This window comes from Homo sapiens, chromosome 12, assembly GCF_000001405.40.
Source record: "Homo sapiens chromosome 12, GRCh38.p14 Primary Assembly".
Lineage (NCBI taxonomy): Eukaryota > Metazoa > Chordata > Mammalia > Primates > Hominidae > Homo > Homo sapiens.
Window position 1 is genome coordinate 14,965,103 of NC_000012.12, and position 20,523 is coordinate 14,985,625.

The following is a 20,523-nucleotide window of genomic DNA, read 5'->3' on the forward strand; positions in this document are numbered from 1 at the left end:
CCTGTGGAGTGGTCCATGTGGTGAGGACCAAAAGCTGTCTGAGTGGACCATCCTGGAAATGAAGGTTTCAGCTCCAGATGATGACAGCTCTGGCTGACAGCATGACTGTAACCTCATGGAAGATGTGAGCAGGAACCACCCAGCTATGCCGCTCCTGATTGACCCATAGAAACTGTGGGAGATAAGAAATATCTATTGTTATGGGCTACTAAATTTTGGGGTAATTTGTCATGTAGCACTATAATTCTAACATACTCATGATCTAGCCACTTGCTAGATCCTCCAGACTCATCTGGTAACGCTTAGCCCTTGTTTCCTCCATTCCAGATCATGCCCCTCTTGCTAATCTTTTAATGAGAAACAGGTTCCCATTTTAGGGATCATTCTCTTTGCAGAAATGTTCTTCCTTTAAATAATCATACCTGATTCATTTCTTTCTTTATTCAGATCTCTGCTCATATGTCAATTTCTCAGAGAGGTCTTTTTTAACCATTATATTTAAAATAGTGCCTCTATTTCATCATTTTGCTTTATTTCTAGCATGTAACATCCCTTGACATATTTCCCATGTATTATTTTTTCTGTTTGTTATCCACGTCTCCACAAGACTGTGAGCTCTATAAGGTCAGGGACCTTGTCTTATTCACTGCTGTATCCCAGAGACTAGAGCACTGACTGAAAACATAGTATACTGTCAATAAATACCAGCAGAATTAATGAGAAAGGCCCACATACTAGGAAACCTCAGTATTTAGAAAAGATGAAGTGAGAGATGCCTACAAAGGAAGAAAAGGAGGAATGGCTTGAGAGGGGAGTATAGGAAAAGGGGAAACAGCTCTGCCTGCTGAGTCAAGTCACCTATATTGCAGCTTTGAAGAAATATTTATCTGATTGCCACTATGTTGAAGTTGCTATGCATCCTTCTTATGAATTTTTGAATAACAAATTTATTTAAATTTACACTTTGAAATACTTATAGGTTTACAGAAAATTGAAATGTTCACTCTCTCTCCGCCAATGTCACCATCTTGCATAAATATGTATAATATCAACCCAGGAAACTGACATTGATACAATTCACAGAGCCTGCTCCTATTTCTCCAGTTACATATGCACTCGTGTGTGTGTGTGTGTGTGTGTGTCTGTGTGTGTGTGTGTAATTCTATGCAATTTTATTGCATGTGAAGCTTCTTCTAACTACCACCACAATGAAGTTACAGAACTCTGCCATCTCTGTGAGGCTTACTTGTTCTACCCTTCTGTAGCCACACCCACCTCCTCACACCCATCCCTAACACCTGGTGACCACTAAATTGTTCACCCTCTCTATAAATTTTTTAATTTTAAAAATATTAAATAAATGGATGATAGACTAGATAAACAAAATGTGGTACATATACACCATGGAATACTATGAAGCCATAACAAAGAACATAAAAAAGCCTTAAAAAAGGAGATCATGTCCTTTGCAGGGACATAGATGGAGCTGGAGGCCCTTATCCTTAGCAAACTAATGCAGAAACAGAAAACCAAATACTGTATATTCTCACTTATAAGTGGGAGCTCAGTGATGAGAACACATGGATGCACAGAGGGAAACAACACGCACTGAGGCCTATTGGAGAATGGAGGGTGGGAAGAGGGAGAAGATCAGGAAAAATTACTCATGGATATTAGGCTTTATACCTGGGTGATGAAATAATGTGTACAACAAACCCCCGTCTACCTATGTAACAAACCTGCACACGTACCCCTGAACTTAAAATAAAAAATTTTAAAAAGAATATTATGTAAACGGAATCATACGTACATTTGTAATTGGCTTTTTTCCTTTAGCATAATTTCCTTGAGGTTCATACCAGTTGTTGTAGGTATCAATAACTTCATTTCCTTTTACGGCTGAGCAGTATTTTCATGGTATAAAAGTACCACAGTTTGTGTAACTATTCACTCATTATAGGAAATTTGGATAGTTTCCAGTTTGGGGCTAGTATGAATAAAGCTGCTATAAACACTTGTGGACACAAGTTTTCACTTCACTGGATGAACACCCAAAAGTGCAATTGCTAGGTTGCATGGTAAATCCATGTTTATTTTTAGGAAAACTGGCCAAATGGTTTTCCACAGTGGCTGTTCCATTTTACACTCCCACTCACAATGCACAAGTGATCCAGCTTCTCCTATATCTGTGCAATCATTTAGTGTTACACTATGTTTTTTTTTAATCATTATCATAGGTGTGTGGTGATTTCTCATTGTGGTTTTAATTTGCATTTCCCTAATGGATGATTATGGTGAATATATTTTTGTGTGCTTGTAATCTACATATCCTCGTCAGTGAAATGTTTACACGTATTTCTTGTTCATTTTCTAATTGAATTGGTTGCCTTTTTAATCTCAAGTTTTGAGAGTTCTTTACATTTTTGAGGTACAAATCCCTTGTTGGGTATAGGATTTTCAAATACCATCTTCCAATTTGTAATTTGTCTTTCAATTCCCCCATCAGAGTTTCTCACAGAGCAAATATTTTTAATTTTAATGAGGTCAAATTTATCCATTTTTACTGTTATGGATTGTGTTTTCACTGGCAAGTGTAAGAACTTTTCACTTAGTCCAAGGGCCTGGAGATTTTCTCTCATATTTTTAAATTAAAGTTTCATAGTTTTACATGTTATATTTTAGTCTGTGATTCATTTGAGTTAATTTCCGTACTAGGTGTGAGGTTTTTGGGGTGCATAATATGTGAGGTTTAAGATTCTTTCTCTCCTCTTCCTTCTCCTCCTTCTCTTTCTCCTTCTCCTCTTGGTTTATGGATACCCATAGACAAAGTGTCCATGCTTTCCAGCACCACTTGTTGAACAGACCATCCCTCTCCCATTGAATTGCTTTTGTCTCTTTGGTCAAAAATTAATTGGGCATATTTGTGTAGGTCTATATCTGAGTTTTCTACTCTGTTTCACTGATGTGTAGGTTTTCATAGCTTCTTTATGAGAATCCTATTCTAGTAGAATTCCTAGTTCTATTCCTAGTTTGCTGAGAGTTTTTATCATTAATGGGTTTTGGATTTTGTTAATCATATTTTCATCAATTGATGTGATCATATGATTTTCTTTTTTAGCTTGTTAATATAATGGATTATGTTGATTAATTTTTGAATATTTAATAAGCCTTGCAAGCTGGAATAAATCCCACTTGACTGTAGTGTATTATTCTTTTTATACATTGCTGTATTTAATTTGATAATATTTTGTTAAGAATTTTTGCATCTAAATTTATGAGAGATACTGGTCTGTAATTTCCTTTTTAAATTTCTTTGTGTGGTTTTGGTGTCAGGATAAAATAGGCCTCACGAAATGAGTTGGGAAGTGTTTCCTCTTATCTGTTTTCTGGAAAAGAATATTGTGTTTTTAATTCATAAGTTTTTTTCCAAGATTAATGTTGTTCTGGAGAATCAAACGTAGGGTATTTAGGGAAAGAGGGGCCAGGCTTGTACATTCCTTTTTCACGTTTAGTGTGTTCCCCTCTGGAGTCCACTATGCATTAGTCAGAGTGGAAAGTTCAGTCTAGGAGATTCCAAATGTGGAGGAAATGTGACTTTAATGTGTCTTCCCACTCACTGGTATTTTAAGAAGCACTAAAGAAAGATTAGAGATTAGCGCTTGCATAAGCAGCTAAAGGACAGCTAAATTTTTAATTACTTTCTAATTACTTAGTACCTGCACTCTACTTTCCAATATATAATTAATAACACTTTTCCATCTGTCAGAAGGGATCAAGAACCAGAAGTTATAGAGCTATGGAATACAGATTTAAGAAAATAATTTTATTATATTTAGTCATAAAATTTGCATACAGTAGAGCTTACTCCTTGTGATGGACATATGGGTTTTGACAAATGCATCGAGTTGTATATCTACCACTATGATCAGGATTCCAAATAATTCCATCACCGCTCCTAAAATTTCTTGGATTTTCTCTTTGGAGTCAACTTCTCCACTCAATCACGGTCCCAAGCACCCAGTGATCTATTCTCCAATCCTACAGTTTTGCCTTGCCAGAATGTCAAAAATGAAGTCAAACAGTACACTGCCTTTTGACTGTGGATTTTTTCATTTAGCAAAATGTTTCTGTGATTTATTTATGTTATTGAATGTATCAATAGCGAGGTTCCCATTAGCTTTATTTCTTGTTTCTGTGAAAGCTTAGAGTGTTCAATACGCCAAAGTTATTTTGGAGGAATTCCTTTGAGATTGGTCATTTTGCTTATAGCCATATAGCCCGATTACCTGGTTGATAAGATGAGAGACAAACTGACCAGAAATCAGCCATCACTAGACTAGGCAATGAACTATGAAGGGATCTGGTAAAACTACTCCATCCAACAGAGGTGATGTGTATTGATTGTTGCTTGCCCAGCCTACACCAATCCCCTGAGAGTCAGTAGGAGTCAGAGTAGCAGAGACAGGAAGAGCAGCCACTTCAAACAGGGAACAGTGGGTGAATCCTTGATCCAAGATGATGACCAGACCCTTAGAACCTCATAGTGCCTTGAACGATGTTTCGTTCTCCACCAAGCCTTGCTGAAGGTGGTTGAGTTTCTTATCTTCCATTTTTCTTTTCAGATAGACTAAAATTCTTTCTTTTATCATTTATTTTTTGTTTCAAAAAGTTTCCTTAGCCATCTTTTTAGAGTAGGTCTTCTGATTATAGATTCTCTTAGTCTTCCTTTGTTTGAGGATGTCATTATTTCCCCTTATTCCGAAGAAGGATAAATTCACATGACATAGAAGTGAGGGTTGACAGTTCTTTTTCTCAGGACATGAAAAATGTGCCATATCCTTCTAGTCCCCCTGGTTTCTAATGGGAAATCTGCTGTCAGTTGAGTTATTTTTCTTACAGATAAGGTGTTGCTTCTCTTTCACTGCTTTCTACTTTTTTTCTTTGTCTTTAGTTTTCTGAAGTTTAGCCATGGTGTATTTTGGTGTAGATTTCTTTGAGTTTATCCCACTGGGTTTTCCCACCTTCTTGATGTTACACAATTACGTCCTGCACTACATTTGGAACATTTTTAGCCATTATTTCTTCAAGTACTTTTTAAGCTTCATCTCTTTTCTCCTTTCCTTCTGAGATGCTGATGACATAAATATTAGGTCCTTTAGTCTCACAGATCTGTAAGGTTCTATTCATTTTTTTTGTGGGGGGGTGGGTTTATTTTCTGTCTTTTGTTCAGATTGGGTAATTTCTATTTTTCTGTCTTCAAGTTCACTGATTCTTTCTTCTTTATTCTCCATTCTGTTTTTGAGCCTATCCATTAAGTTTTTTATGTTGGTTATTCTATTTTTCAGTTCTAAAATCTTTATTTCATGCTTTTTTACATGCTGTGTTATTTCTGAATGGAGATGAAATTTCCCACTTGGGCTTCTTTGATACCGCTCTGGTAGGGAGAAGAAGGTGGCCTCGTTATGACTGGTTGGAGGTGAAAGTCCAAGATCCCAATGTGGCTTTCTCTGATGCTACTCAGCTAGGGTGGGAGAAAGAAGGTCACCCCGTTGTAGCTGAATCAAGATGAAAGTCTTGGCTCTCCACTCAGACTTTGCTGAGTCATGTCATGTTTTTTTTCCATGGTATTTGACTGGAGTAGGGCGGTTTTTGTTTAAATGTTTTTGTTCTTGCTAGTTTGCTACTCTCTTGGTCACTTGTCTAGAAAAAACAGGCTTTTGGGGAGGTTTTTTGTTTTTTCACTCCTCTTGGTGTTTTTGGGTTACTGTCTTTTCCTGCATCAACATCCGGATATACAAAAAGAAAATTCAGGAAACTTCCTGCCATATTGTTCCTCGCATCTAAAGCCTGTCTTTGGTTTTTCTTCTCTCAAATATTTTGAAATATTCCATATTTCTGTCATATATAGTATCCAGGATTTTTAGCTGTACTTAGCAAGAGGCATGAGAGGAAATGTGTCTACTTTACTTGGTCCAAAACAAGAAGGAACATAGATTTTTAAGACTGTAGAGTAATTTAAGAATTTTCTAATTCTAAACCCCTGAGAACCATATTAGAGTGGCTTTAGGAGAATTTTTCAAACTATACACCTAGACTTTCTCCACACTCCTAATCTCTCCCTCTTCTCTCTCCTGGATTTCCTTTGGAGGAAGAAGACTTATGGCACAACCACCCCCATATTCAAAAATTGAGAATCTGAGAATTGCAAGATTATCTTTCTCAAGTGTACTGGGATGGAAAAAAATTGAGAACCCCAACACTCTAAATCATTCATTTTACATATGAGGAAACTGAGACTCAGAGAGGTGACATATAGCAGATAAGTGGTAAACCCAAGCTTGCATATGGGTCTAGAACAGTACTTTTCAAACATTAATATGCAAACACATCACCTTGGACCTTGTTAAAAAGCAGATTCTGATTCGGTAAGTATGGAGCAGGGCTGAAATCCTGCATTTTTAACAAGTGCACAGATGGTGTTGCTGCTGCTGCACTTTGAGTAACAACATTCTAGAACATTCACTCAGCTTTTGGCACTTTCCACTGTCCTTAAAATTTGTATTCTTTCATCAAGAAAATGGAGAATATGTAAAAGTTTGACAGATAAGCATCTGAACATTAACGTGCCTGGTATGTAATAGTAAAGGAAGATGTGAATGGTAATGGAGATACAGAGGAGGGAGCAGAGGGACTCATCCAGAGACCAAACACTTTCCTGGCTTTGCAAGGTAATCATTGCTTTCAAAACTCAGAGGAATTTTGGTAAAGACCAGTGGAGAGCATATGAATGACTCTCAAGCTGTCTAGTTGCTCATGTAATCTGCTTAGGGCTGCAGGTTAAGAACCTCTCCCTGTCTAGAAAGGATAAATTGACCTTCTTTCTCTGTAATGTTATGGAGTGTAATTTTCTAATAGGTAACAACTGGGGAAAGAACATTGAAATTCACTGGCAAGGCATGGAAGTGACCAGCAAACAGACATCTTGGTCTCTGTCTGCTTTGATGTAGTGCAGCACAAAGACAATTGAATATGCAAGGTACTTCCAGATTTGGGCCCTGTTCCTGGCTCCACTATTAATTTTATTTGCAGTCTTGAATAGGTCACTTAATCTTTCTATGATAAATTTATCAAAAGAGCTTACTGATAACTACCATATGGGTTGAGATCTATTTAAAATACAAAAAGTATTAATCTATTAATAATTAATACTAGTGGATCAATAAAATAGGAAGACTGAGTCAAGGAGTCTCAGTAAATTGGATTGTACCCTAGACCCTACACCCTGAAACATTTAGGTACGGAAGATCCAGCAATCGATTCTCAAATAAGTGTCCTCAGTTAACAATTCCTAGCTGTCATTTGGGCCCTTTCTGTGTCAGATATCAGTTTTGACTCTGAGGTTCCATCTCTCTGAGGAAATTCGCACAATACCAGTTAGGGAGACATACTGTGTGTTTCCCAATGTCACTGCCCGCATGTTCAATGTCCCTGTATAGCAGGAGGCACTGTGGCTCCCTCTCTTCTCTCCAGTTATCTAGAGCCCCATAAGAATTATGTCACTGTGTATATGTGTGTGTGTGATTGCGCACATAGGTGTGTGTTTGTCAGAGAAAGGGAAGAAATGGGGGTATTGAAATCTAAAGGTAAGAATAAAAAAAAGACAGAAGATATTGAATCACAAACTGAAATTTACCCTTGGATATCAACACTTTTTGTGTTTTTGTGAATACAATACCTATTTATTGACTGGAATGAACCCAAGTCAGTTTTGAAAGGGCCTCTAATTATTGGAAAACTCCTAAGCCTGTCCCAGCATCAACCCATGTTCTCCTAACTTCTTTGCACCTGGGTTGCTGTTCTGAGCTTATGACGGTGAGATTAGGCAGCATGAGGGTATTACAGAGAGATAAGTCAGGATGCAAAGATCCTTTTGTCTTTTGCAAAGAAGGCAGCTGGGCAGCTGATAGGAACAACATTCAGCTCCGTGAGTACTTCTGAACTTCTGGTGAATTTGAGCAGGATAATTGAAGGGCTTTGGGGGGTTGATCAGGTTCCAAAAGAAAAATTGCAGAAGAAAACATGTTGGACCTGTGGGCCTGGGCTGTGGCTGGGGATGAAAATGGGAAAGAACATGAAGGAGATACATGCAGACCTTCTTGTTATGCCATGGGACAAGCAAATAAGTGAAACTTGATTATTACAAGGTCACTGCAAAACTTGATTACTGAATTCATTTAGAAGGAGCCCAATAGTGACCTCCCTGTTTGCAGCTTCATAGTAAACAGTTTTCTGAAGAAGGAGGAATCTGTGGCACTAAATAACCACAGAGAAAACAGTTCTTTACTCCCAGGATGTGCCTGCAAACTTGGCCCAGGATGGTGTGAGTGTGAGGAAAAGGAGAAGGGGAGCTGAGAGCATGAGAATGACCACAGGGCAGGGCAGGTGGCTGAGCCTTCTCCCTTTGAGGTCAAGTGTTTGTTCCATTCTGAAGCAGGGTGCTGGCTGGAATTTTGGTAATTTTTTTTTTATGGCTTTGGTTTGGGTCTTGCTTTGCTTTTCAAATTATTGATTTTCTCTGCCTCAGCAGGACCCTGGGTGATATTTATGGGCTCAACCCCAGCAGTACTTCCCTTCCCAGCTCCTTCCTGCCTCTTTCTTTGTCCACCAACAATGGACTGGTCTACCTGTCTATAGCTTTGCTGAGAAAAAGAGAACTGGAAGTGTAAGGTGATAACAGCAGCATCAGAGAGCTGTCTCAGGAACCTCCTAAAACTGCTTTTCAGAGGATCATCCTCTGTCACTATATAGAGCTGGGCTTTGCTGTATAAAGAAACAGAAGATGATTTTTTGCTTTATACAAATCTTTAACTTTGTTAAGTTGACCCTAATCCCAGTCCCCTAAAAAAGTATGCCTTGAAATATTACTTTGCTGCATCCACTTATTTCTGCAGAAAAACAGTTTGTAATCTTCAAAAGGGGAAGGGCTAACATTGCTTTAAATACAGGAAAATGTTCTGGCTCACAAAAGAATAAATTGCCTAATGCTTTTGGAGGAAAAAATATGAAACTTCTTTCAGCTAAAATCAAGTCTGATAATACATTTAAGGTTACTCAGCTCCAGATGCCCTTAGAATTTCTAGAAAGGTGTGGTCAGCATGAGGTTAGCCTTTGGTGATGTTTATGGACAACAGGACTGGCTTCCAATGCAGGAAAAGGTCAGAGGTGTTCTACCCTTCCTAAAGGTTTTGCAGAGAGAATTGGAGGGTAAATCTATGACAGAAACTGCATAGGGATTAGTCGACTGTTCCGGTTACCTAGTGCAAATCCTGAGCACCATTAGGATCAAGGGATTAACCTGGCAACTGTTATGTAACTCTTTCTGAGGAGGCTTCTTTCATATAATGCATCATACTCAGACATGAACACTTTCTAAGCCTAGAGGTGTAACTTCAAAATTATGTAAAAATGCAAAAGAAACTTGCAAGAAAAAAGGGGATGTATCATTGGGGAATATGGATGTCACGTGTGATTTTTAAATTCTTCGGGGTTGCTGTTGGGGTGTCAAAGGAATTCAAGGAAAGCTTCTTAAGACAGAATTTTAAGACCAGAAATAAGTTAACAGTCGGGGTGTTTGAAGGAAGCAGAGAATTACCCAGCGAGGGCAGATGATAATTGCCCCTCTGGTGTATGGCAAGGGCCCTTCAGCAGTTGGCCCAGAGGAAGGAGGTGCAGAGTCCAGGTGAACAAGTGTCATAACCACAGATTTGTTTGCATGGCTTTCTTTTCTCTCAGAAGGTCTAGCATATATTTGCCCTTTTTGAACACTTTGTACCACTCTACTTATATTGTCTTCCTAAAATTTCCCCATAACTCTAAAAGGAAGGTCTTGTTTGATTCATTTTATAGATGGAATAAGACCCACAGAGGATTATGAAATTTATCCTAAGTCACGTAGCCAGTTCTGTGGAGTAGGAACTTAAAACTATATCAGTTTGATTCTAAAGAGTGTACTCTCTACCGTGTTACCATCAAAGGACAATTTGACAAATGAGGGTCACTTTAGGCCCTTACATTATAGAACTCTGGATCCAACTCAATTGGATCTTATTAGGGCTGCCAGATAAAAATGAAGGATGCCAGTTCAATTTGAATTCCAGAAAAAAAATGACTTTTTAAAGTATAAATATGTACCATGAAACAGCTGAGATATACTTTACTAAAAAAAATTATTTCTTTGTAATTCAAATTGAACTGGGTGTCTTGTAATTTTTTTTTTTTTGGCTTAATCTGGCAATTCTAACCCTAATAGATTCTTTAGATGAGAGAAAAGAAACTTTTTGATTTCTTCTACCTTGAAAATCCTGGGCAGTTCAAAAACCTTGATCTGAGAGCAATTCTCTAGCTGCCCTCTGTGACTCTGGCAGGGCTGGGATGTGTCAGTTACTGGTGGTCCACTCTGAGCACAGCGCAGATCTTGGCTGCTCACCAGCTATTCCCAGGGTCCCAACCACACTTGGGACAGACACAAGGTTTGCCTGTCTACCGGGGGTAGAGAGGGCCCACAGAACGGGAACTGAATTTAGTGAGCAGAGGAACTGGCAGTGCATTTCCTAAAGCCTGAAAGCTAATGACTTCTCTGTGCTCTGATGGAGAAGTCAAAGGGTCAGGATCTCATGACCAAGGTTTACAGTATTTGTTCAATTTCTTTTGTTTTTTTTTTTTGTTTTTTTTTTTTGGAGACGGGGTCTTGCCCTGTCGCCCAGGCTGGAGTGCAGTGGCACAATCTCAGCTCACTGCAAACTCCACCTCCTGGGTTCACACCATTCTCCTGCCTCAGCCTCCCAAGTAGCTGGGACTACAGGTGCCCGCCACCACACCTGGCTAATCTTTTGTATTTTTAGTAGAGATGGGGTTTCACCGTGTTAGCCAGGATGGTCTTGATCTCCTGACCTCGTGATCCGCCCGCCTCGGCCTCCCAAAGTGCTGGGATTACAGGCGTGAGCCACCGTGCCTGGCCTGTTCAATTTCTAAATTAATTTATTAACTCATTTGACAAATATAATATATATGGCATGATTACTGTACACCATGCACTGTTGTAGGTTCTGAGACTGGAAGGACAGCCTCATGAAGCTAGTCCAGTAGGGGATAAAGGAAGGAATCACAGCATGAGCAGGTGGTCCAGGGTCCTGGCCAATCTCACCATCCCTGGTACTGGCAAGGGTAATAATTTAGTAATAATCAGAATTTAAATAAGAGAAAAATCTTGGAGGCGAGGATAATAATTGCAACCCAATTGTCAAGGAAATAAGAAAACAGTATGGACTGGAAGTTATAGAATATGAGGTTTCAGGAATATGCAGTGTGGCCAGTAAAGAGAGTCATTGTTAGCACGAGCCAAAGACTGTCAGGGAGGTTTGCAGTTAACAGTATTAGCATAGGCTGGTGTGATGGGTCATGCCTGTAAACCTAGCACTTCGGGAGGCTGAGGCGGGAGGGTCACTTGAGCCCAGGAGTTTGAGGCTGTAGTGAGCTATGATTGCAATTGCACCACTGCACTACAGCCTGGCTGATGGAGCAAGAACTTGTCTCTCTTAAAAAAAAAGAAAAAAGAATATTAGCATAAATCTGCAATGGGTGAAATAAGGAATCTTATGGAGACAAAGCCCCCACACACTAGTTTTTATAGAGGAGACTGTCTCAGGGTAAGAGGCAAAAGCAATTTGGAGTTCTCTGGGGCTTTTCAGGATCTTCCTTCCAAGAGCAAGTTTTGTTAACTCTTACGAAAGAAAGGAAGAAAGAAAATAACGTCATCCAAAATGACACATTAATTGCTTAAATTTATCTTTTTCAATAATTTTCTTTGATTTGTATTTGAAGAATGGCAATGTGCATTTCTGTAGCCAAATTAAAGTCTGAGAACACCATATTGGATAGGTCCGTGGTGTGGATAGAAGAAGGCATTGAAGATTTGTGAAAAGTGGGGGCTGAAGAACCTTATGTCTCGACGTAGAGTTGAAGCACAAACGTATTACTTAATTATCCTTCATTAACTTCTGTATGTGCGTGTGTATTAAGATGTGTTGAATATATTCATGGGTGTTGGTATTCCTGCTTCAGAGGTCCTCCTGTCCAGACAACTACACTGTCATCTCCCAGAACTAAGAGAGAAGTTTCTGGTTCATGTGAGGATTAAACAAAATAATCCTATCTTAAACTATAAGGACATGAAGGACTATAAAAAAACAGAGGCCATAAAAAATGCTCAATAAACATTTAGAGTCAGGTTATTTTACAGCTGGATGGAAGAATATGTAAAGCTTAAAGAAATTGCAGATGCTGTAAAAGACTATAGATATCACTGAGTCCATTTTCCTCTCTTCGTAACTGACAGAACTGGTAGTCACAGAGAAGTACAGCATCATAATAAATTCACGTAGAATGCTTGTGGCAAATCTATTTTATTTATTTATTTTTAAATTTTAATTTGTTATACCTAATGTGAAGCTTTAATTTAATTTATTTATTTAAAAATTGTTTTCAGTGGCAGATCCATGGGAACAGCATAGCTACCTAGATTTCTGAGTTTTAAAATCTATCAATTGTCCGTTTACACAACTGATAGATTGTGTAAGTAATGTAGCAGAAGGTAAGTTTCCATTCCATTCCATTAAGTGCCTGCATTGATTTATACTCTGTTTTCTTAAAGATCCCTTTTAAAGATGATAACTTCTCCCCTTTTGTGTCAACACAAAATACTGAGCTTTCTTGTTGAAGTACTTTTCTTCTCCAGCCTGAAATAAAGATCTAATAACCAATGGTCCCCATGACTTGAAAGATCTTCTTTTTTTTATCTTTCACTGTCTAAGGAGGCTGAAAGGGAAACATCAGCCGCCCGGGGGGAGTTAAAATGAGTGACAACACTACTCTGCCTGCTCCAGCTTCAAACCAGGGTCCTACCACCCCACGCAAAGGCCCTCCCAAGTTCAAGCAGAGGCAGACTCGCCAATTCAAGAGTAAACCTCCAAAGAAAGGTGTGAAAGGGTAAGACCAAAATGAAAAGAAAAACTTTCTATTACTTTCTTTTTCCCACAAGACTGCTTTTGTTTTGGGAAATTGGTGCTCACAATATTAAACAGACTTACAAAAATTTCCACTCCATCCTCTCTTTTCCTCTGTAACTCCATCTTTGATGAATTGTGTCTTTATCCCTGGAATTCTTTCCTTCTCAACTTCCAGGTCTGTGGCCGAATTTAACATGGCAAATAGAGGCTTTTTACAATAAACTTTGACTTTGCCTTGCAGGCTTTTGATGACCACTCCTCTTTACTGAGACAACCTCTACGTTAATCTGTAACACTGAACCACTGACCATTTCCAGAAAATATAGCTTATATTTATGTCTTCCAATTTTGTATCCTCAGTTCTTTATTTTCCTCTTCCTCTCCTTGGCAAAATCCTATTGATTTTTCAACACACAGATCATATGCTAATTTCTTTTTGAAGCTACTCCTGACTCTCTTTAACAAACTATCATTACTTTCATGTTTGCATTTTGTACATTCAGCTATCATAACTTACATTATATCTTATATTTATTTATTTGTATCTATTCTCCGAGGCTAAGACCACTCAGAAAATTTGTCTGTTTTCTTCTTAACTCTCTGTGCTTAATAAAATGCCTGGTATATAATAGATGCTTAGTTAATGATTTTGAATAAGTAAACAAATGGATGAATTCATCATTTTTAATGCCTTTTGTATTGCTTTCTCATTTCAATTTTTATTATAAAAAGTGAAACTTGACTAAGTTGTCCCACTGATGGTTCTTTCTGACTCTTAATTGTTTTAGGTTAAGTTCCTACAGGAGAGAAATATCTCTCCAGTGGGATACACCAAAACCTGCCTGAGTGACATTTTCTTTGCTCCAGTTCAGGGCAAACTAAAGGAGTTTCTCACATACAAACACTTAAACCTCTCCTTCTTCCCCCTTGAATCAAGAAACTCTCCATGTGAGTGACTCCAAAATTCTTTTGCTCTAATCTCAGCTAATTTCTCCTTTATTCTTTTCCATAGATTTGGAGATGACATTCCAGGAATGGAGGGGCTAGGAACAGGTAAGCCATCCACTGATTTAAGTGAGAACTTCGCACTTGGAGTTCTGCCTTTTTATATACTTCAGGCCTCAAGGGGCAGTTGAAAGTTATGAGAAATACCCAAGGCAGAAGATCTGTGAAGACATAGAAATGTGGGGATTTAATTTACCCTCGAAATAAGTACATGTGTGCCCAGATACAAAAGCCCTAAAAGAAATCAGGGTAGGCCCAAAATTTCATAAACCTTCTTGTTTTGTCAAACAACCTTTGAGGGCATACAATGATAAATTATAGACTTTTATGGTAGAAAGATTTTCATAATTCATCTCCCCAAACTTCATTTTTCAAGGGAGAAATCTGAGACATACAGGAATTGGCAGTCTTTTGTCTGAGGCTACCAAGTGAACTATTGGAAATAAGGGTGAGGTCTGGAGATCTCTCCACTCTACCTGGCAAACCACTTCCTTACCAATTTCCTCTTTTTACACATCCTCTAGCACCCAGAGGAGGATCTTACATACTGAATGCCTGCAATATAATTTTAAAAATTGGTTACCAGATTTTTATGTATCATACAATGAATGCAATCACTGCATATTTTTTAAATTAATAGACTTTATTTCTTAGAGGAGTTTAAGACTTACAGAAAAGTTCAGCAGAAAGTAGAGTTCCTATATGTCCTCTCTACCATCTCTCTCCCCTTTTACACAGTTTCCTCTATTATTAACATCTTGTATTAGTGTGATTATATTTGATGAGCCAATGTCGATGCAGTATGTTAATTAAACTCCATAGCTTGAATTAGAGTTTTTATCCCTTGTGTTGTAAAGTTCTAAGGGTTTTGATAAATACCATGTACCCACCATTATAGTACATATTGCAGTACATATAGTATCATACAGAATAGTTTCGCTGCCCTATGCTCCACCCGGTCATCCTTCTCTCTCTCTCTAAACCCCAGACATCCACTAATGTTCTTACTGTCTCTATAGTTTTGCCTTTTCCAGAATGTCATATAGTTAGACTCATACAGTATACAGCTTTTCTGGACTAGCTTCTTTCATTTAACCATATTCATTTAAGGTTTCTCCATGTTTTTATGTGGCTTGATAGCTCATTTTTTAAAATCACGGAATGATACTCCATTGTAGGGATATACACAGTTTTTTATCCTATTGAAAGATACCTTGGTTTCTTCCAAGTTTTGCCAATAATGAATAAAATGCCCCTAAATATTTATGTGCAGGCTTTTGTGTGGACATATTTTCAACTCATCCAACACACCTTTGATAAACAGTAGCACTTGTAGTAATCAGTGTCCTTCCCAGGCAATCCTCAGTGTCTCTTTCTGCAGGCAAATACCAATCCTGGGATCTTGAATGAATTTTCCAGCCATGTTATAAAGCAAATTTTCTATTCTTTTAGATCAACTGCTTCCGTATTTTGGCAAGGTGCATACAAGACCAGCAAATTTGCTTTGGGATCTGGAAGATATGCTTGACTCTGACAGTGTATTTGGAATAATGTAAAGAGGTTTATAGGGAGTGAAGGTCTGAGGTCTTTGACCTGGCTCTAGTCTCAGCTCTACAACTATGTGGTTTTTGCTAATTATTTCATCTTTCTGTGTGTCAGCAAGCTTCTTTGTAACTCAGGGATAATAACATCTTATTGTCTAAAACAAGAAGCTGGATTAAAAGATGCTTTGTGATCGTTTCTCAATATGTGATTGGATATAGGCAATTCAAAATGTAAAGGAATAGAAGAACAATTAGAGAAGAAACCGATCTAGATTGGTAGGGAAGACTATGGATACCTAGACCAGGGAGATTCAAAGTGCTCCTCTTTTTCATTTTAACCCTTGGCCTGACTAGAATTCCACTTCTGCCTCCTCCTTAGTGGTTGTGGTTTGGGGAGACTCTGTGTAATCAGTGGGCTGTACCCCACAGGGAACCCCCCAGTCAACAGCTGTGGATCACCTCCCCAAAGAGGAAGCAGAATGAAACCAACAGAGATGCCTGGTGCAACAATTAAGCAATTGGTCTGATCCTTCCTGGGCCACAGGGCCACGCTAGGGAACTTCCCAGTCAGGGGACAATGAGCAGGAGAGAGGAGTGAAGTGTCTCTGCCTGAAGGGTGTCTTTCTGTGAAGAAGCTCTCTTGGGGTGAGGTTGGCTTACGTGCTCTTCTTCCATCTCTTGCAGATATCACAGTGATTTGTCCATGGGAGGCATTCAGCCACCTGGAATTGCATGAGCTCGCTCAGTTTGGGATTATCTGAAGTGCCAGAGGTTCTGCCACTCTCAATGACATCTGCTGTAATTTTGGTTGCTTTTGCCCTGTTGATCTGCCGGAGTCTTGAAATTCAGCTGATTGGAAGTGGTTTCTTTGACTTTCAAGGTCATTCCCTATCAGTTACTACTAAGAGTTCTCTTACTGTCAGAATCTCTCTTGCAGTACAGCTCAAAATAGTGGATGCATTTCAAACTTGACCACCTTTTCCTACCAGCTAGTTAGAAGTCATCAATATTTCTCTACATTTTGTTTATCTGTAAGTCCTTTAAATCTATTTTTGCTAGGCATTCATTATGATTAATAGTAGACTTTTAAGACAACATTTATGTCACTCCCCACCTCCTCATATTTAATAAAGGAGATATTTACCTTGAATGTTGGTGAAGTTGTATTAAATGCTACGTAGAAATATCTGATGCTGTGTTCTGAGAACCAATTAAACAAAGAAGGCACAGTCATACAGGAAATAAGTGCAGTGCTTACAAAACAGCATAGCATTAAGATTTGAATTCTGTAAGTTTGTAAATTGTATAATTTCCGGGTCTAAATTTTTTTTTTTTTTTTTTTGCGACGGAGTCTCACTCTGTCGCCCAGGCTGGAGTGCAGTGGCACGATCTCGGCTCACTGCAAGCTCCGCCTCCCGGGTTCATGCCATTCTCCTGCCTCAGCCTCCCGAGTAACTGGGACTACAGGCGCCTGCCACCATGCCTGGCTAATTTTTTGTATATTTAGTAGAGATGGGGTTTCACCATGTTGGCCAGGATGGTCTCGATCTCTTGATCTCGTGATCCACCCCCCCTGGGCCTTCCTAAGTGCTGGGATTACAGGCGTGAGCCACTGCGCCCGGCCACTGGGTCTAAATTTTATTGAACTAGGTTATTCCAGAAGTCTCATGCAGCTCTAAGTTGTATAGTTCTAAGTTGGTGAGGAACTGGGATTTAAACTCAGAATTCTGACAATGTGAGCCTTCTTTTCGGTACTCTGGTTGAGGAAGGTTTCCTTCCACGGCATCCCTTCAGTGAAATTATTTTGTCCAATGACTTAAAATGAGAGTCACAGGAGTTACATACATTGACTGCTTTGTGTACATCTGTAGTAAATCTAATCTTTAAACTGTCAATTGAAAAGATTTATATGCTGTAAGGTTTAGACTCATATGCAAAGGATAGGCAGTTGACCCTCTAAATAAAATGGATGGTTTGCCTCACCCCTGAAGTTGTGTCAATGTAATGTGCTCATACTTATCTTTTCTCAATACTTTCAAGGCAATTGTGCAACTCAAATGCTGCCTCTATGTGACTTGGATGCTTTGGAACTAACAGTATGAATTTCTTCATTTCAGTTTTGAAATCTGTGGTAAAAGAATGGAGTAAATTAACCGAAGAGAGAGACAGGATGATAGAGAAGTAAGAGATTCAGGTTCTAATCCTGTCTCTACCAGTAAATTGCAATATAATTTTGGGCAAAGATCTCACCCTTTGTACCTTCAAGTTTTCCTGAATCAGATAATCTAAGGTTCATGGTAGTGATAAATTTTGTGACTTTGTGGTCTTAGAGGAGTGCAGCACTGAGACTTGTGGCTGCTACAAGGCCTGTGTTAACCATTTTGCACGAATGATCAGGTTACCTTCTGGCCAGAAAATTAGAAGTACAAAAGAAAAGCTGAGGTATAGATTCAAAAGTGGAACCATGACATGCAAAGACGCCCAGTGGAAATGTGTGTTTCCTCCTTCAGCAGGAACTCCTGCCTCCACCCAGGCACCTGCTTTCTCTCCTGCCAAAGCTAACCCTTGCCTTTCAAGTCAGCTGCTCCATTTGACAGCCAGTGCCTTCAGTTCATCCCAATTAGGGAGGATTTGCTTCTTCTCCAGCTGGGAGAGACTCTGGTTCACATTTGGCTTACTTTTCAAATATTTCTTTAAAAATGAAGCAATGACATTGACAAAACAGAATGCACTCAAAAGAATGTATCCAAAGGCTACCTAAAGAAGTATCTAGAAACTATGCTACATGGGGAATTGTTGAACGAACTGATAACATTTAGCTGAGAGAAGAAAACATTCATTGCCAGCAAATATTTGAAAAGTTGTAATGGTCCACAGCTGTAACAACCTGAATACACCGGATCTTTTAAAAAAGTAATGGGGAAGGCCGAGTGTGGTGACTCACGCCTCTAATCCCAGCACTTTGGGAGGCTGAGGTGGGCAGATCACAAGGTCATGAGATCAAGACCAGCCTGGCTAACATGGTGAAACCCCGTTTCTACTAAAAATACAAAAAAAAAAAAATATTAGCTGGGTGTGGTGGCATGAGCCTGTAGTCCCAGCTACACAAGAGGCTGAGGCAGGAGAATCACTTGAACCAGGGAAGTGGAGCTTGCAGTGAGCTGAGATCGTGCCACTGCACTCCAGCCTGGTGACAGAGCGAGACCCCATCTAAAAAAAAAAAAAAAAAAAAAAAGGAAAAAAAAGTAATCATGAAGGAGGAAGAAGCAAATATCTTTCACGCCACAGTCTGGCATTTGGGGGTAAGCTGGAGTAGACATAATTTAAAGCCCTTCCAGTATCTAGAATCCTATTATTGCTATTCCTATCATTTTATTATTTTAAATAAGAAACCTCTCAATGTATAGACAACACATATGAAAGAGATAAAGTAAGTCATTGTCCTCATCTGAGTCCTGGCAGCAAAGAGATGACAACCCCAAGCTGGGTAATTGAGGAAAGGTTTAACAAAGGGACTATTTACACAGGCTGGGGAAGAGTTAGTGGCAATCTACAAAGGCCAGTACAGTAACTTCGGGCTAGCAACAGCATAGGAGCCATTGCCAAACCTGGGCCTGAAGCAATCCAGAAATAACATCTCTAATAATAAAGGAGGGGCCCTTGACAAGGCTGTAGGATGTGGCAGAGGGACATAGTTAACATACAGTGATGCTGTAAGTAATCAGGAGGTAAAGGGGTTGTTCCTCCTTCCAATGTCATCCTTCTCCCCTTCTCTACTTCCCTGTTGATGCCTCCCATTGGCTAAACCCAACTGGAAATCAGAGGGCAAAGAATCTCTTTAATGCAGTCATTAAAGTTCACCTTCTCCAGTAACACATAGACACAGGGAGGGGAACAACTCACACTGGGGCTTCTAAGGGGGACGGTGGGAAGATAGAGCATCAGGATAAATAGCTAATGCATGTGGGGCTTAATACCTAAGTGATAGGTTGATGGGTGCAGCAAACCACAATGGCACACGTTTACCTGTGTAACAAACCAGCACATCCTGCACATGTATCCTGCAACTTAAAATTTTTTAAAAAGTTCACCTTCTTCAGCAAAGAGCAAGTGGAGAGTGAATGTGAAGGGGCTAAGAAAATATATATCCATCATAGCAACAGTATTGAAGAGCAGATAGTATTTGTCAGCCAGTGATTTTTAGTTGGAGTTGGGAAATAGCATGCATATGTCTATAGCCTACACAGCTGATTCTGATGCAAAACGCTAGAGTGGAGGAAGAGCAGTGTTGAATAGGAAGAACCCAATAGGCAAAAGAGAACAATAGCAGAAATAATTTATCATAAAGTTTAAGAGTTTGGGGAATTAAAAAAAATCTTCAGACAGTTTTCTGATAATAAGAAACATTGAGAGTCTCTTCTTAAAAGCACATAAAATTTGGGCCTCACTCCAGATTTTCTGAATAAGAATTTCCAAGGGAGAGATATTGAAATCTATGTTATTAAATGAGGGCCCTAGGTGATTCTTACATTTGTGCCAGTTTAAAAACTCTGATGTAATCCAAGCCTACATTTTACACATTAGGAATTAGCTAATTCTTAACTTGTTACCACCCAGTGATCCAGTGGCCAACTTAACCCATTCTTCTTGCCCCCAATAACACATGTAGTCAGTGGGAGAACAGAGGCTAACGTGTATGTGTTCTGACTGTTACATAGTTTTGCTGGCTGATAAAATAGATGTGCCTCACTACTCTAGACCTAACCCAGAAGATGTCAGAGAGCTCAGGAGACAAGGGTTGGACTGAAGCAATTCCAAGAATATAGGGCTGGACAAGTACCACAATTATGACCACTGCCTCACACAGCCACCCTCCCTCCGTAGCCTGTGTCACTCCCTGGCCTCTGCTG

The 20,523-nt window shown here is 39.2% G+C and overlaps 1 protein-coding gene across 1 annotated transcript, besides 1 other annotated feature; it reads left to right on the plus strand.

The window, feature by feature from the left end:
• PDE6H (phosphodiesterase 6H) lies at positions 7,940-16,763 on the plus strand. Its single transcript, NM_006205.3, has 4 exons — positions 7,940-7,984; positions 12,870-13,044; positions 14,077-14,117; positions 16,298-16,763. The coding sequence occupies exons 2-4, from the start codon at positions 12,911-12,913 to the stop codon at positions 16,372-16,374; spliced, it is 252 nt and encodes an 83-aa protein (NP_006196.1). The 5' UTR covers positions 7,940-7,984; positions 12,870-12,910; the 3' UTR covers positions 16,375-16,763.
• Positions 16,186-16,285: an enhancer, noted in NCBI's record as "active region_6065". NCBI's record gives its function as "activates an Ori minimal core promoter by ATAC-STARR-seq in GM12878 lymphoblastoid cells {active_cell/tissue: GM12878}" and the evidence as "EXISTENCE:reporter gene assay evidence [ECO:0000049][PMID:35858748]".

Bases quoted from the DNA above. Each gene is read 5' to 3' on its own strand.
- PDE6H (NM_006205.3), top strand. From the start codon at position 12,911: ATGAGTGACAACACTACTCTGCCTGCTCCAGCTTCAAACCAGGGTCCT. The intron at 13,045-14,076 runs GTAAGACCAAAA...TCTTTTCCATAG, and splicing joins CCAAAGAAAGGTGTGAAAGG to ATTTGGAGATGACATTCCAG. The intron at 14,118-16,297 runs GTAAGCCATCCA...CATCTCTTGCAG, and splicing joins AATGGAGGGGCTAGGAACAG to ATATCACAGTGATTTGTCCA.